Genomic DNA, 17,493 nt, shown 5'->3' with positions numbered 1-17,493 from the left:
AGCAAAACCAAGCCACTCTTGTCAGGAGTATAATTTCTTGTTCCACGCCCGCTCCCCCTCCCTACATCGCTATGGAGATAATGTTCCAGACTACAATAAAGACATCTCAAGAGCATCTCTATAACAAGATAGGGGAGGTCTTGTGTACTTCATACATGGCTAAAGTTACCCATGCCAAATAACCAAGGCTCGGGAATCACAATAATTGTATTACCTGAACACCTGGGTCCTCATCTTCTTCAGGAGGAGGAGATGGTGGGGGTGTTTTGTCTAAGTCTGAATTTTCAGAACCTTCTGTTTTTCCCTTGTTGACCTTTTTCTTCAAAGCACTTGCTTCTGAGTCAGGTTTCTTATTACTAGAATTCAAAGTGGATCGCTTAGTGTTCACTTTTAATGTGTTTCTGCATGTCTCTTATATTTCCCACATTAATATCCCAAAAGTATCAATGACAACTGATAAATCCATACATATTGGCTATTTACAGTTAAATGCAACTCCCAATTAAGTTTTCCTGGCAAAACTCCATATTAATGACTTTTAGCAAATATATGACCTAATTAAAAATAAACTGCATGCAAAAACTAATACCACACATAGTACATTTGTGCAAAATGCCTGCCAGTATATCAAGCCATAATAAAAAATCAGATTAAGAAGTAGTTTTGCTATCGAATTTTTAAGGTACAGAACACTTTTTTTTAATTGTCATGAAAAACGATATCATGATCTTCTCTTTGTGCCTTTTGTGGATAGTTTTACATACTTAAGTATTCTTTTGACCAGTACTAGAAGGTATCCTCTTTTATACCATCCAGTTACATTTTTGTTCAACTTATAATCTTTTAGAATGTAATAAAAATACATAGCAATTTCCTGTTGTACATAATTTTAGTAGGTACTGTGTTCTTAATTAAATATAAGCTTTATTTTGGTGCTACGTGTTTTTTGAGATAATCACAATTAGCCCTTTTTTTGAAAGACAGTTCTCTGAAATATAAAAATACAGTAAAGCAACCCTAATAAAGTGCATGTTTCATAGTATGTTGCTGACAAATGTTATTAGAATTTGAATATTATATAAGACAAAAGACATAAACTTCAAGAAAAAAATGTTTTACATTTGCCATTACCTCTAGAACCTTTACCTGACTTTATGTACATTTAGCGCTACCTTCCATTTCTATTTCCAAATCAGCTCCAGTTTTTTTTTTATTTTTTGAGACACAGTTTCACTCTTGTTGCCCAGGCTAGAATGCAACGGCGTGATCTTGGCTCACTGCAACCTCCGCCTCCCGGGTCCAAGCGATTCTCCTGCCTCAGCCTCTCAAGTGGCTGGGATTACAGGGATGCACCACCATGCCCAGCTAATTTTGTATTTTTAGTAGAGACGGGCTTTCACCATGTTGGTCATGCTGGTCTTGAACTCCTGACCTCAGGTGATCCACCTGCCTCGGCCTCCCAAAGTGCTGAGATTTCAGGCATTGAGTCACTGTGCCCGGCCATCAGTTGCAAATTTTCTAACACCAATTACTATTTGTTATCCAACACTGAAAATAATCCAACCTCAGTAATGATTTTTTAAAAAATATTTCTAGGGAGCCTCAAATTCCAATAAATTGTGAAAAACAAAAGCTGTATTTCAAAAACCTTCAAAAATTTTATTTATTGAAGTTTGTAAGTTCTCAGGAAAATGTGCTGACAGAATGCATTAAACAGCATGTTTTTACCCTCAGCTACTACAAAAGGAAGAAGCCAAGATATCTATAGGCTTTTAGAATAAAGCATATGTCATGTAAAATATTTCAAAAGTATTGTTAATAAACTACCCATCACACACCTAAAATGTATTTTTTCAACTAAATAAAATATTTGATCATCTTAAACTAGTTATTCTTAATACTCAGAGTTTTATTTTGTTAACATTTTAGCATAGTAAATAGCTACATAAGAAAATAACAATTCAAGATTATAGCAAATGGCAGTTAGGTTTAAAAAGTTATTTTTATTTAAAAGAAAAGAAAAAAGGCCGTGCTCTAAAAACTGTCTCCGAAAGATCCACAGAAAGCATAATATTTTTAAAATTAAAAAAAAAAATCCATACAACCGTTCCTCATCCAACTGTCCTAGTGTTTACGCTACACATGGACAGAAGTCTCCCCTACTATGAGGTTCCATTTCCAGCATTTATTTCCGCTCTAACTGCCACAAATTATACAATACTACAGCTGAACACTGGGCCCCTTTCCTTTCATCTGCACGCCAAGAGCAATCAGATTACCCTGGTAACCAGCGGTCACATGACCAGCACCTGCTCTTTTGGCTGGATGCCACTGACTAAAGCCATCTGCTTCCCTCAATCAGCTTTCAAACATTCTCAACACCTGCGCTGCAGTGTTTTGTGGTTTCTTTTATCAAATCAGTGCAAAACTGCTTCCAAAACTTTACATATTTCTCAAATTTGTTTAAATCAGAGGTAGGCCTGTCAAAGAGTTGAACCACTGCCAGGTAAAGTGAGTTGGCAGCTCGCGCTTTTCACAGTGACCTCTCTATACCAGAGCGATGTACACGGTTTAATTTAGAGGGCTGCCAGGCCCTGCATGCGTGGTCCTACAGGAGTAAAAGGCTTACTATCTGGAAACCGACCAGAGCCCAGGTTTGAGGAAACATCAATTTGCTGAAGGAGAGAAGTGCTAATGATTTTCCATCTGCCCTTCCCAAGAATGAACTGTATGGAACCTCCAAGATAGCTGAAAGTCAGACAGTCCCTCTCCAAATGTTTAGACAAAAAGCCTGTAGATAAGGGAAGCACTTATCCCAGATCTGAGTATGGAAAGATTTCTAAACTCATCAGACCTTTCACTATTCATGTTGTTAACGGACAGCTAAGCATTTCCATCCATCAATATACAAATCAAAGAACACCCTAGGAAGTCAAAAAAAAAGCAACAAAATCTTCAGTGTCCACCCTCCAACATTTCCATCAAGGACAAAATTAAGTTATGTAAATTAAATTGCCTTTGCTACTATTCTGCAATAAGCTAATTGAGATTTTTCAACTAAGTGTTGTATTAAAACTGCTTTGTCCAAAAATATCCAAGTCAAGATTTTTCTTTTAACAAACAAAGGTAATCTAGAATGGTGGATATGAGCACTGATATGAGTCAAGACAAACCTTAGTTCCAGTTCGAACTGTCATTTATAGGCTGGGACCATGGATAAGTTACTTAATTTGTCTGAGCCTCAGTTTCCTCATCTGTAAAATAACGTTAATATTTTATACAGTCTTCCAAGATTTATTATGAGGTTTAAATGAGAAAATGGCACAGATAGTTAACATCCACACCCATGTGAAAAACAAGCAGCTGAGTCTGGAAAGTATTCTCTGGTCATGGCTCAGACCCATTTGGGCCGATTCAACTGCAGAGACTTACAGACAGGACCCCCTTCACTGAGGATGACTTCATCCAAGCAACATACATAGAAGGAAGAGCCTTCATCGACATTCCTAAGCACTAGCTAAAAGAATAAGCAAGCAAACAGACCCACAGTGCACTCCTCCCCATGCCCATGACCACTGCTTTAGTTCAGACACATATCATTTCCCGCCCAGGCTATTAATCACAACAGCTCCCCACTGCCTCATCACCCTCACACCCCACATGCAGGGCTATACAACATCAGACCGGTGGAGAAAGGACATAGAGTCCACATGCATAGTTATCATTTATATCCGTAAGGGTCAAAACTAGTCTTTTATAATGTCAAACTCAAAACACAGACATATATTCCTCTTCCAAATTACAACAGAAGCTGGAACGTATGAAAAGGGCCACTGTTCTAGGTCGGGGGGATGAGAATGTCTTTAAGAAGTAACATTCCTTAAACCAACATTGCAATATTGAAGATAAGGCCACTGAGCTGCTTGACGCAGATACAGAACCACAAGACTCCTCTAACAGCTGCAGTGATGGCTACTCATGGGCCTAGCTCAAGCCGACAGCCACATGGCAGCCTGTGAGTTGGAAGAATAACTAGGCCATGTGCAGGGAACACCTGTAAATTCCAGCCCTGAATGGCACCAGCACTGAAGAAATCATGTCTGCCCTCATTCCTCTCCTAAACCTGCTCTGTCTCCTGTATTTCCCACCTCAGCATCATGGTAATGCCACCAAAACATCACCTGAAAACTCATCTCAAGTCACCAGAGTAACCAGCTGGAAGGCAAATCTGACTGGGGCATTCCTCTGTTTCAAACCTCTACATATAATGTCTGAGATTCTCCATATGGGTGTACCAGAACCTTTGCCTCTTATGCTTCCAGGCATACAGAACTATTCCCCAAAACACACATGTATCTCTTCTACTTACACTTTTATCCCAACCTACTCATCTGCAAGACCCTGCGCGGACACCACTCATTCCAAGAAGCATTTTCTAATCACCATGGTCTAGATCAGACATGATCTCCTCACTCCACCCACATGTCACATGATGTACCCCATACAAGGGATATATAAAATACACAAAAGTTGGTGGTAACATTACTGCAATGTATTAAAATCAAAGCACTATATGTGTGTCTTTCTCCAACTATCATGTAAGCTCAAGCAGAGAAGAAACTGTGTCTTATTACGTTTACATTTCTAGAGCCTACTCTGGTAGGTTACTTATAATTGTTAACTGGTCTAGTTACAACAGTACAAGTAATAGCAATAACAACAGCAGAAACATACATAGCCCTGGGTATGTACCAGGCACTACTCTAAATATTTTTCTCATTAACTCATATAAGAAACCCCCACATAGCGTCAACCTTGATGAAACGCCTATAAAGCTCAGTAAAATCGGGCTAAAGTTCAAAAAAATAGAGTGAAACCTAGCATTTTTTAAAAAACCAACAGAAAAGAATACCATCTACATACCTTGCCTCCATACTCACAAACCTCTTTTGTGACCATTATCTCACATCATTACTGATAATGACCAAAAAGCAGGCCATCCCTCCTGAGGCTAGAGAAGCTAGAGAGACACAGAGCCATCCACTCACGAGGCTAGAGAGACGTAGAGCCATCCACTTGTGAGGCTAAAGAGACACGGAGCCAACCACTCATGAGGCTAGAGACTGAGAGACAGAGCCATCCACTCATGAAGCAAGACAATGAGATATAGAGCCATCTGCTCCTCATTTTAGACAAGCCCTTGTAATCAGATGGAGAACATTTTCTGAGGATGCTGCTGGAGGTCTGAAGGGCCACTGCTCCTCCTCCAGCCTTACTTACATTTCACATTTCATGATGAGAATTGGGTTACACTGGTGGGTAGCTGGATGTGCTCAGGGTCCATAGCTAAGTGACCAAGGTCTTAAGTTCTGCAATCACCCCCAATGGCACCAAGGCATACACCAACTTAATGCAAACTCTTAGAAGCAGGCATTTGAAGAACACAAACTTTATATTCAGAGAGCAGTATATGTCACATGGAGAGATAGTCTAGGCAATCTACCTTTATGCAAGTAGTCATGTTCAGCTTACAACTGTAAGTTCGTAAGGACGGCCTAGTGCTATTACCTGAAATGGGGTTGGATGGATTCAGTATAGATAACCAATTCCTTCTGTTGGCTTTCTAAACAAAGCTTGATACAAACGGCCATAATTTACTGGAAAGCCAGGTAGCTGCCCTGATTTATTACAAAAGAGAACACAGTTAAACATTGATTAGTGTCGGCCTAATAGATCTAAGTCCTGAACAGAAAGAAAACTTGAAAAAGAACCACATTGTGGACCCAAATGTGATGGGAATATGGTCAGCTAATGAGAATGTCTGGACAATGGGAAGGAGTTCTTAATCAGTCTCTTCAGATGGGATAAGTTAGTGAAGTTTCTCACCATATTGGGAAAAATTAACCTTGAGGCTTAGGTCATGAGAATTAATCAGGTTTGTTTTCAGAGACTCAAGCTTCTCCAAAATGTTACATTATAATCTTTTAAAGACTGAAAGGTATTAAAGCATATTCTTACACTTTATATCCTGAAAAGACTTCTGAATAAAGAAATGAACCTAATGGATAAGAAGTAAAAGAGATGTTTTTGTGGCATGGGATGCCACACAGAATGTGATGCAGGGTGTTTGTGACAAAATACAACTCTAAAATGATCTGAGCTGCCACACTAAAATACACAGCTAGATGGTAGAGGCCAAGGGCTCAATACTGGCAGAGGAGAGTGTCTAGCCTCTCAACTTAAGAGCAGAGCATTTCCTTTAAGCCCTGTCTACTATTTGGTTAAGTTTTTTAGACAATGAAAAAGAAAATTAAAAGACAAAAAGGCAAACTAAAAAAGATAAAGTATGAAGTTCTAAAAAGCCAATTAAAGCAGCATAAAATCTGGTACATCATAGAGTAAAATCAACCCCACAAAATAAAAATTTTAAAGAAAGTTCTAAGACTAAAATTTAACAGCTAAACTAGAATGTAATAAAACGCGGACAACAGAATAAACTAATGAGGAAGGGGACAAATCAAACTCTGAATGGCAGATAATAAACCCAGAGGTCAACAACTTCACACCAAGATATCCAGTACCCTTTTGGCGAAGGCCCCACTAGTGCTCAGTGCGCTGCCCAGATGTCTGCAATCCTGCACCCAGCAGCCTCAGGCACCCTTGGTTCTCAGGCGTCTGGCCTGGCACCCACATGCTTCACTCCAAGCAGGTGCCTCGCCACCCTCAACTCCTAAGCCCCAGCCACAAATTCTTTACCCTACTCTTCTAGTTGAAAAAGAAAGAGGAGACCTGTTAGCAGGAAAGGAAGAGGGAAGAATTCTGTTTTACTGATGGACAATAAATGTTCAAGTTCAATGAAGAATTATTAATAAATGTTTTAAGTTCTTCAAAATTAGTCACCAGCTGGGTACATTGGCTCAGGCCTGTAAACCCAGCACTTTGGGAAGCCAAGGCAGGTGGACCGCTTGAGGCCAGGAGTTCGAGACCAGCCTGGGTAACACGACAAAACCTCATCTCTATAAAAAATACAAAAAAGTCTCTGTAGGTCTGGATCTGAAAGAATCAAAAAATAAAAATAAAAAAAAAGAGAGACTGAGGTGGGAGGAGGGAGGACTGCTTGAGCCCAGGAGGCTGAGGCTGCAGTGAGCTGAGACTGTGTTACTGCACTTTGGCCTACACGACACAGCAAGACCCTGTCTCAAAAAAAAAAAAGTCACCTGGGGCTGGGTGCAGTGATCACACCTGTAATCCCAGCACTTTGCGAGACCAAGGTAGGCGGATCACTTGAGGATAGGCGTTTGAGACCAACCTGGCCAACATGGTGAAACCCCAACTCTACTAAAAACACAAAAATTAGCAGGGCGTGGTGGTGCATGCCTGTAGACCCAAGCTACTAGGGAGGCTGAGGCAGTAGAATCGCTTGAACCTGAGGTTGCAGTGAGCCGAGATCGTGCCACTGCCCTCCACCCTGGGCAACAGAGCGAGTCTGTTTCAAAAAAAAAAAAAAAAAAAGAAAGAAAATCTACAAGTTACCGAGTTTTATGGATTAAATTCAGATCTGCCAGAAGTAACATGGAAAAGAAGTCTAGTTAGCTAATGTGTTATCTGATCACAGAAGCTTAACACAGACATTAACACTTTGGCTATGTGGCATCACCTGGCATTATAATGGAAGCCTAACTCCCACAAAATTATATTGTTCCTATAGAAGTCAGGGCTACAAATAAAAATTAGTATTCTAATGGAAGTTTAAGGGTGTTGTCTTACTTAAAAAAAGTGCCTTTTTTCTTGATTCACACTCTCCACTTCCTAGATATAACATAAAGAATTAAACCAATTAGACACTACAAAACTATATAAAAAATAGGCCTTTCAATGGCCTTTTATCATAGTGTATCTTTCCAAGTGCCAAACTATAGGGCACACATTTGACTCCCTGTGCCACATTTTAAGATGCCGCTCTTATTCACGCACAGCAATCCTATGAAGTAGGAAGGGGGACTCTGGCAGTCAGAACCCCCTCCCTAGATTCATCATTACGGTCTCTAATCTGCCAGGGTGGCTAACACAACAAATGAGCCATGCTGCCCACCCACATTTCAATCAGGTGCCTCAGGTGAGATGAGACTTTGGCAGATTAAATAAATGGTAAAAACAACAAAGAAGAAAATATCACCATCCACCCCAACAGGAGAAACCAAACTCCCACAAAATTATATTATTCCTACAGAAGTCAGGGCTACACATAAAATTAGTATTCTATGGAAGTTTAAGGGTGTTGTCTAACTTAAAGAAAAAAAAAGAAGTGTCTTTTTTCTTGATTTGCACTCTCCATTTCCTATTTAACGTCTGAATGCTAAGTCACATAGACTTCTACATAAAGGTGGCTGAAGTGAGGGCTGGCATTTCAGATGACTGATGCTCTGCACAGTGGCTTTGCACAAGCACCCGAAGACTGCCTTCGTCCACGCAGAAGACAACTAACATAAAGATCTTTACATATCAGGTGCAAACTGCATTTGTACAGAATTTCATTTTTCAACAGCACTTCATTTTCACAAATATAGACTTATTTAAATAAAAGATAAAATCAGCCTATGATTCCTTCTGCTCTTTACCTGCCAGCCCTAACATCATAACCACATCTACTGTATGGCAACATACGCTCCATCTGAAAATTCCACTTAGGACTTTCAAGGAATGTGTCTCCAGAAAAATCTCCCTTTAACATCCCACTGCGGCTCACGGCCTCCTTACACCTGAACTTCCATTTGATAGGTGCAGTGGAAGTTGAAAGTGGGATCTACACCACCTTCTCCCATATAAACCAAAGTGGGAACAAGGCCACTGCTTTGGAGTCCACTGCAGTTCACTGGATGGGCAGAAACAAATTTCCAGCAGGCCCAGTGTAGCCCACCCTGCATCTGGCACAGACCATGAGTTGGCAAACTTGCTTTCAAGGTCAGTATTATTAGGCAATCTCTTCCCTTGATGGATATGAACTGAACCACACACGTCAAAGACACCGGGGTCTGTACTAAAAGCAGCTGATGACTCTCTCACCCTGCTTACTCAGCCAGTTTAAGATGAAATTAAATAGAGGAAGGGCCACAATGGGGCCACTGATGCTGGCTAGCAAAAGGAAGGCCTTGAGGTGGTTACCCTAAAGGAAAGAAGGATTCGGGATTTAAAAGATGCTATGGTCCTTTTGTTGAAGAAAAGACAGCCTTTGAGGCAGCAGGAAAGGGAGCACAAGCTTGGATTTAATGAACCAGAGACTGGGTAGGACAGGTCGGGAGACAAAGCCACACTATGTCCATGGGCACCAACACTGAAAGGGCTCAAAGATTCATTTATCATCACACACATAAGAAATCTCTACCCTCTTCCACAGGCACAGGGTGCAAAACATTTAGTTCTGTCTTTTCAAATGTCCAATGTCTTCCACCAAGAGTAAATCATAGCATGTGAGTAAAATAAAGAATAAGAAAATCATCAGGACAGCTACAAAAAAAAAAAATCAAAGGAAGGCTGAGGGTTTAATTTATTTTATTACCCATGTACCTGACAGGAAGATATCTGACTATTTAGGTTTTTGTACTTACTACCAAAACTAGCATAATGGGTTACTTTTGTGCCTAATCTCTATTAAGAAATTTTACATATACAAGAGTACACCATAAAATATGTATTAGTTTATAAAAATACACCACCATTGGACTTGGTGGCTGAGTAAAAGTATTTCTCAGGTAAACGTTGCTACTCTGTAAGCTCGTAACTGAGAAAACAATGTTTGAAAAGCTGAGTTCCTCAGAGAAAGCTGCTATACAAATACTACTACTATTAATGATAATGATAGTATGATTTGCAAAAAGCACCCTCACATGTTTCTCGTACTATATATGTTTTTTTAAAATAAGAGTAGCATGTAAAAATAAAACTTCACTCTTAATTGAAAAATAACATTTTAGTTTTCTACTAAGTTTAATACTAGGGACAGAGCATAGAGCAAGGAATGAAAGGCATTCCTAGAAACTGCATTAGCAGCAAGTCTGTGTTGTTCTACTTAACTTAAGCTTCAGTAGTCAAGTCACAATCTTTGGCCAAGTTCCCTTCTTTCTGTACATTCAAAGAATCTTTATATAGCTAAATGGACCATTAAATCCTTCAAGAGTCATTCAAAGGAAGCACTTCCTCCAAATTCTTTCTCATCTCACAAGGCACATGCATGCACAACAGAAAATGCATTGAAAAGGATGCAAATCCTCATATTCCAGCTCCATGAATCCTTCCACATGCAAAACGGTATCCTCTCCAACCCACAAATGTTTTCGCTGTTATTTTCAATATTAGCAACGAATATTTGAAAGCTGTAAGGACAACTGGGGAGAACACTAGAAAAATCGATACAAAAAATATATATTTAACATAAAACGGGAAAGGGAAAAAAGATACAGCCTGATTAGAGAATAGGAATGTGGCCCGTTTTTCTCATCAAGGTTTTACATGTCTTTTTCTGTGATGCTGAACATCTTTTCCTGCTTCACCATCACTCTATGTAACAGTTTCTGGGCAGATTCTTTTAGGTCCTCCTGCAGAGGAAAGACATGTATGATCATATTTTAGTTGTCAAAAAGGCCAGTTCTCTGGGAATGGTCACAAATTCAAGCTTCTGCCATTTTACAGAACAAGATGGGGTGCCAGACAGTGAGGAGACACACAAGGAAAATCAGCCCCTGACAACGGCCAGCCTTCACATGTCCTTTACCATGGTGAGTGTAAGTGATGCAGACCAAGCTCTCTCCCTGACAGTGACACAGCACAGAGAAAGCTAGAGCACCCTCGGGCCGATTCCTTTACCTCCAGCTCAAAGAACAGCACACTTGTTTGTACAACACAGCAATGATATGGCATACAGGGCTGCAGAGTAAAGATGTCAGCAGTTCTGTGCTAAATTTTTCATTTCGGTTCTGTTTATTCCCTCTATTTTAGCTCTCTGTAGGAAAATTATTTTCTGTATAAACAAATTCATCAAGTTAACTTATTCAAGGATGGAAATAACTGGTATCACATAACATTTTGCAAAACAAAATTGCCACTGTTGTATTCCAGTGCTTAAAAGCAAACTGCTACGGCAATTCAAACCCAGTACTAACATAACCCAAACCCCCTATTACCTTCATCACTGCATATTCAATTTACATAATTATTCTACTATGCTATTCAGAATTTACATGTAGTTGTATGCACTCTAGTTATCCTTGCTCCAGGGATGCTGTTTCCTTTCTACACTTAGTAGAACAACGAGACCACAATGCGACATACTCAATTTATCAGATCAAGAGAAACAATGAGGTTCAACAAAATAATGGTCTGGTTTGTTAATTTACTTAAAACCTCAATTCAACTACCGTATGCTTGGACAGCCATCCCTGTTTGACTGTCAACAACAGGGAAGTTCAGGAATGTCCTTACCACCCTTCATTGTAAATCAGAGTGGCCCTATAAGTGGTCAAGTGACCAGGGCCAACAGAGGTGCCACCAACACTCTTTGTGCCCCGCCCCCCCCAGTGTGGCATCCTAAGTCTTTGGGCCACACTGCAGCAGCTCCCGTTTAACCTGTAAATCCGCAGGCTCATCAGACGTGTTCCATCCAATTATTTTCACACCACTTAGGGTAAAAATAACTGTTGCCTATAGCAGGCATTGACTGAGACTATTAATCAAAAGCCGCAGGAGGGGGGAAGGTACTAGACACTTTTTCAGAGAAAATACACCCTTTTCTTCCTACCAAAAGCTTGTGACTCTGGTGCAAAGCCAACACTCAGATTCAGCAATGCCAAACACTTACTCTGCACAGACTCTGATTCATACTTCAGGGTGGACAGCAAGCCTATGAGGCTTGCACTGAATGTTTCTCTAGTGGATAAACACAGGGTCTATATTTGCACCAAGAAGACATGGCATGCCTGGGACTAACTAGATTTGGTGCTCCAACTTTCAAACAGTTTCTTACAGTTGTTGGGAAAATTTTAACAAATTTCATTGTTAAATACAGCATTTTAATATCTGCCCCAAAGGACTCTACAAGAGGTAAGGGTATGCTAAGTAAGTTTTTAAACATAGAGCCAGTCTGATGTAGATTCAGAACTTAAAAAGACATACTTGGAAATTCATAACAATATCTAATATAAAGTGTTATTTTCTTTTTTTAATCCATTTTTACCATTAGGTGATAAATTTAAAAATTAAGATGAAAGCTGGAATCAGATATATATCTTGATGCTAAGATTAATATTAATGATGTATTTCCTGAGCTCCAAAAAGCTTCTTTAGAACACAGACTCCTATGTTTTAAGTTAAAGAAAAAAGATTATATTCTTTTTAAGATTTTTGCTTTGATTTCTTTCTCCTTGGGAGAAATAAGCTTATGCTTTCTCCTACCAAAAGCATATACTTAGATTTAGGTAATTACTTATTTTTTAAACTACCTCATAAAGTCACACTAAAATTCTACCCATGTCTTTCTTCCTCATCCTTACATCCCTAACTCTTAAAACAGTACCTGCAAATAATAAGCACTTAATATTTCTTAAATAAAAACAGATTTTATAAAGTGTTAAGTTTAAAAACATGTTCACAAAGAGGGGGAGAAAAGTGATGGTTTTCAATTAGGAGACCACACACTGAGGCATCAAAGAAAATTCACAAGTAAATGCAAATATTAAGTTATCTGTAAGACTGAGCTACTGAATGTAATTCAGTTACTTTGGCACCATAAAAGGTGTTGAGGGCAAAATTTCCTAAATGGCTATGATCCAAACTTTTAAAACATCACATAATAATGTATTTGGAGTTGTTTAGATTATTTTTAGCAGGAAGTTGCAAGTCCAAGTTTGTCCTTTCACTTCAAGGCAACATCTTTCTAGCCACAAAATTAATCTCCTCTGTTTGTGTACTTGGGCATGCACACACAGGGCAGCAATCTCAAAAAGTTCACAGCAAATGCAGAACTGACTGTGTACATGCACAGGTGTGTGTTTACACGTGCACATGAGGGTATGGGGTGGGCGTGTTTTCTAATGGAGTTTGCAAACAGATTCGGATTAACCAAGGCTGACCATAGTTCCATCTGGAAACTATATTTTCTAACATGAGCCACATTCTGAAAAACAGATTCAGATGTCTGGAACTGGTTCAGAACAGTTGTAAGAAACATTCACTACAAATGAAAAAAATTAGTCTTCAATGTCTTCTCCTCTCAGTTTTTCTTACCGAATAAATGGGGTAAGAAATTGGGGGAGCGGTCAGAGAATTGATGGGGGGAATATGGAGTGAAAGAGGGTCTTCCCTAGAACCTAAAATTCATGCTACTCTTGAATGCATATCCAATGGACAAGTACTATTTGATTTCTCTTGCGCTGCTCACTAGGATTTCAACCCTGCTCCTGGAAGGCTTACTCCGCCAAGTGGAGAGAATTAACAATCCTGGTTCAACCTCTGGGAAGAAGGGCTGGAATGCTTAGTGAAATATAGTGACCTTTCTTCTATAATCCTTCTTATCCAGTTTTATATCATCACTGAAAATGAGGTTGCTGGTCTATTCTTATAAATAATTATACTGCTAACTTCATTCCATTTGCTAAATGATAAGTTTTCATAAAAATATAAAAAATTGATTTTTAATTTGTATCCAGTAAGGTCTGTAAATCAACAGTTCACAACAATAAGTCCTAACTTTCAGAATGCGTAAAAGCCTTAGCTTTTTAGTTTGGATATTAGGGAAAGAAACTCAATGATGACAAAAATCATTGTGTCCCCTCCCACCCCTCATTTCATAGGCTGTAACTATTTGGCGCTAATTTCTGTACTCTCAATGTTTTGCAGTTGTTTTTTCTGCCCACAGCCTACCTTGACTTTTTGCTGGATTTGGGTTTTGGCGTGGCAGTTTTTGCTTTCTTTTCCTTTGGCTCTTTGGGAATCTTAGGGGCTTTCGGGGTCTTGGGTTCCTTGGGCTCTTTTTTCTCCTTGGGTTCTTTCGGTTCCTTCGGGTCTTTTTTTGCCTTTGACCTTTTCTTTTTCTTTTTTTCTTCTTGGGACCCATCCAGTGAGTTCCTATTTAGTTCTTGGTTATCTACCCCACCAGGGAAGTCATCTTTACCAAAACCTTTACTGGGATCCTCTGCTACAATGTGGTTGTTTTTCTTTTTCTTCTTCTTTTGTTGTGGCTGCTGTTCTATTGATGGCAGGTAATCATCACTCTTCACTAGCTGAGCATTCGGTCCACTAACCTGAGTCATATCCGGCACTGGTTTCTCTAGAAAGGGCTCCGACGGGGAATGCTGAGAGACACAAATAGGAATTGAAATTAGTTTATCATTCTTCACAGTAAAGAAAAGAACTGAAAGTTAGTGGCTGATGTTTCTGAAACTTATTCTATACTCAGGTAGCAAATATTTTTCCAACTATACAGTTGTAGAATCTATCAGCTTCTCTCATCCAAAAAAAATGTATGTTTAAGAGAGAATCTTTTAAGAAAGAAAGTTTTAAAATAGCACTTTAGTTAATACAGTAAAAAAAAATCAGTTCAGGAAGTAAAAACTCACTCAACTGAAGACACTGTCTGTTTTTTAAACAGCCTACATGAAAATGGTGAATGGCAAAACAGCACCAAGACTAAGCCACAAAGAATACATCTAAGTTGAGTTCTAGCCCCATGTGGGAATGGGAGCTCAAATAAAAGGTATATAATTTAGCCATTTTTAAAATGAGCAAGTATACTGAACATTGCAAGATTCTAGTACTGTGAAAGTCTGAAATAAAAGTGTAAACATAACACATAAATCTAATACAATACAAGTCATTTCTGGTTTAAACAACATTAAAATATCAAATTAAAAGCACATACCCAAACTTGATGATTTTGGATTGGTGAAATTTCTTGCATTGACATGAAAGGTGGAACATGTTTTTCTTAACCTCTTTAAGGCTTTATATTTCAAAATTTCACCAAGGGAGAGATAACCCAAATAAATTAATGTGACATGCCTTTGGGAGGTTCTTGACTTTCACTAGGGATACACCCAGAGACTATCTTAAATAGAGTAGAAAAATAACCACATTTAGAATGGGATTCTGAGTGGTCAGCCAAGATCAGAGGAAGTGACTCCTGCATACAACAGCCTCCCTCATAGCTCACCATCCAAACCAGAGCAGGGCTGCCTGGATTATCATCTATACCATAAATTATGACATCTAACGAACATTTATATTTCAACAAAATACTTGAAAATATTAAATCTACATATGTCTCTCATTTCCTGCCTTTCTCATATGCTTCTTCTGGCATGTAACACTAACTGTAATGTAAACGATCTACTATGTGCCAGGCATATATGCTTTACACCGTGGTACCATTCAATCCTCACACCAGCCCTAAGCGTTAGGTGATTCTTCAAATTTTATAGTTGAAGACACCGCCACTCTAAGATGAAGTAACTTGTCCGAGGAGGTACAGATGTTAAGTGACAGAACTGAGACTGCCATCAGAGCCAATAGCTCCAGAGTCCTCACTCCTCAGCACATGACCTACAGAAGAGGAGCAGGCAGACGAGCCCAGGCCCACATCTCCAGAGCCTCGTGACTACTGTACACGCCAAGGCTTACTACGAGAAAAGGAGGAAGGTTAGAATCAAACATTAAAATACAGGTACTGTAAATTCGATTCCAATACACCTAATATTGACTGAGCGGCTATTTGATGCCATGCACCAAGCTAGGTTATGTTTGCTAGATGTGTTAATTCCCCTGAATCTCATAACAAAAAAGTGATAATTTACCCCCAACTTTCAGAAAGGAAAAGTCCAAGAAGGTGATGTGGCCACCCCAGGTCACACAGTTAGTGACGGAGCTAAGATTTGAATCTAGTTTCCTAACTCTAGTACTTTCTGATTCTGTCCACCTCTTCCTAACATCTTCTACACAGCATCTTTCTGGGAAAGGCTCACAGGTTTCACTCAATTGCACTGGTGTAAGAGAAAGAGCCCAGAACTCTGAGTTAAGAGATTAAAATTCAAGTCCAGGCCCTACCGTCAGCTATATCATCTGGGAAAAAATCACTTCACCCATCTGGGGTTAGTTTCTTTTTCTGCAAAATGAAGGTTTTGGGTTAGGTGATTGATAGGTGATTTCCAAAGTTTCTTCCAAAATCCTGTGGCATTAAAAAATCTTAAAATACTTATTGCCCTTTGCTGGTCATAGCTAAGGGAGAATGAGGCTGAAAAAAGAGTAACGATATATAGGAAACACAGAGGCAAGGTCAAAGTTTGAAGAAGAATACACAGATGTAGATCTACATGAGCAGATTTCCATGCAGGGATAACACAACTAACTAAACACTGCCAAAGTTACCCTCTGCCCCTCTATCCTTTCCTCACAAACACTCTTACACATCAACAGAGGCACTGTCCAAATTATCACTACCTAAGTATCAATGGACCTGATTTAACTGTTTTATATTTAGTTTGCATAAGTTGAGTTAGTTTGTACATATTATTCCTTAATGTAATTAAAAAGGAAAAAGCCCTATCTTTTTTGCACAGGACACGGAGATCAAACTTATTTGGGACAAGCTATTTTTCAGGAAATGAAAGAAAAAGCTGTTTCTGGAAAGAGAGGAAAAGAGGAAAGTCTAAACAATGATTAAAACTTAGAATGGAGAATTAATACCAGGTATGTTTACCTTTCTTTAATCTGCATGGCATTTGCTCCAGTAACAGAACACCAGCTTCTAATGAGAGATTCCCCAGCACACAGTAATGAATTAGAAAAAGCATAAAACATATAACACAAAAAGATTTAAAGTTTACACACTTTAGCATGCAAATCATGTTAGATGCTCCTTTTAGTAATAAATGAAGCAATAAATTAGTAACTCAGTAAAAAATTTAATCTTGCATAAGGAGGAAAAAAGTGAAGATCAAATACAAAAAAGTATTAATTCTGTTTGATATGCAGCAGAATTATGTTTTGGTACTATCTGAAATAGGGTGAAAAAGGTGCTCAGAAATATTACAGTGTTTACCAGACCCACATCTCCTTAAATCTTTTAGAGAAAAGCTGTTTTTGTAAACATTTAACAAAGAACAGATGGCCTGCCTTAATCATGTGGGGAAAAAAACCTGGAGCTCCCAGTAATACCCTGACAAAGTCTCCCAGGCCCAGCCATGTCCCCCCCTCCACCCCCCACCCCACCAGATGCATGGTACAGTCTTCTCTAATACTATTTAATTTTACAGCAGACATTTTCCCATCAATTCCCACTGCCTGACAGGTAATCAATGCCATTAACATCTGATATTACCATGTAGGGCATTCCTAAAACCTCTCATTTATTAGAGCAAACATGGAGAATGTTAGATACCAAAGGTATTTTTAAATAACATCCTGTCAAACTTTCTGCTTGACATATATTCTACTATAATTCCATATCCC

At 39.0% G+C, this 17,493-nt stretch overlaps 1 protein-coding gene across 11 annotated transcripts in view, besides 3 other annotated features; it reads right to left on the bottom strand.

Annotated features, from left to right (window-relative positions):
• Window positions 1-17,493, bottom strand: part of CHD7 (chromodomain helicase DNA binding protein 7) — a 189,289-nt gene that overhangs the window by 72,687 nt on the left and 99,109 nt on the right. For 10 of the 11 annotated variants that reach the window (XM_011517553.3, XM_047421945.1, XM_011517555.3 and 7 more), the window contains exons 3-4: window positions 13,912-14,342; window positions 215-356 (exon numbers count right to left, since the gene is read on the bottom strand). In XM_011517553.3, the coding sequence (XP_011515855.1) occupies window positions 215-356; window positions 13,912-14,342 (573 nt within the window). The remainder of the gene's footprint in view (window positions 1-214; window positions 357-13,911; window positions 14,343-17,493) is intronic. The other variant, NM_001316690.1, reaches the window with a different exon arrangement.
• Window positions 2,163-2,232: an enhancer, noted in NCBI's record as "active region_27427". NCBI's record gives its function as "activates an Ori minimal core promoter by ATAC-STARR-seq in GM12878 lymphoblastoid cells {active_cell/tissue: GM12878}" and the evidence as "EXISTENCE:reporter gene assay evidence [ECO:0000049][PMID:35858748]".
• Window positions 2,373-2,442: an enhancer, noted in NCBI's record as "active region_27426". NCBI's record gives its function as "activates an Ori minimal core promoter by ATAC-STARR-seq in GM12878 lymphoblastoid cells {active_cell/tissue: GM12878}" and the evidence as "EXISTENCE:reporter gene assay evidence [ECO:0000049][PMID:35858748]".
• Window positions 13,668-14,867: an enhancer, noted in NCBI's record as "CDK7 strongly-dependent group 2 enhancer chr8:61693034-61694233 (GRCh37/hg19 assembly coordinates)". NCBI's record gives its function as "activates an origin of replication core promoter dependent on BRD2, BRD4, P300/CBP, MED14 and CDK7 cofactors, with strong dependence on CDK7, by STARR-seq in HCT116 cells {active_cell/tissue: HCT116}" and the evidence as "EXISTENCE:reporter gene assay evidence [ECO:0000049][PMID:35650434]".

The sequence above is a fragment of the Homo sapiens genome, chromosome 8 (genome assembly GCF_000001405.40).
Source record: "Homo sapiens chromosome 8, GRCh38.p14 Primary Assembly".
In the NCBI taxonomy this organism is placed as follows: Eukaryota; Metazoa; Chordata; class Mammalia; order Primates; family Hominidae; genus Homo; species Homo sapiens.
This window is presented reverse-complemented; position numbering and strand designations above follow the sequence as displayed.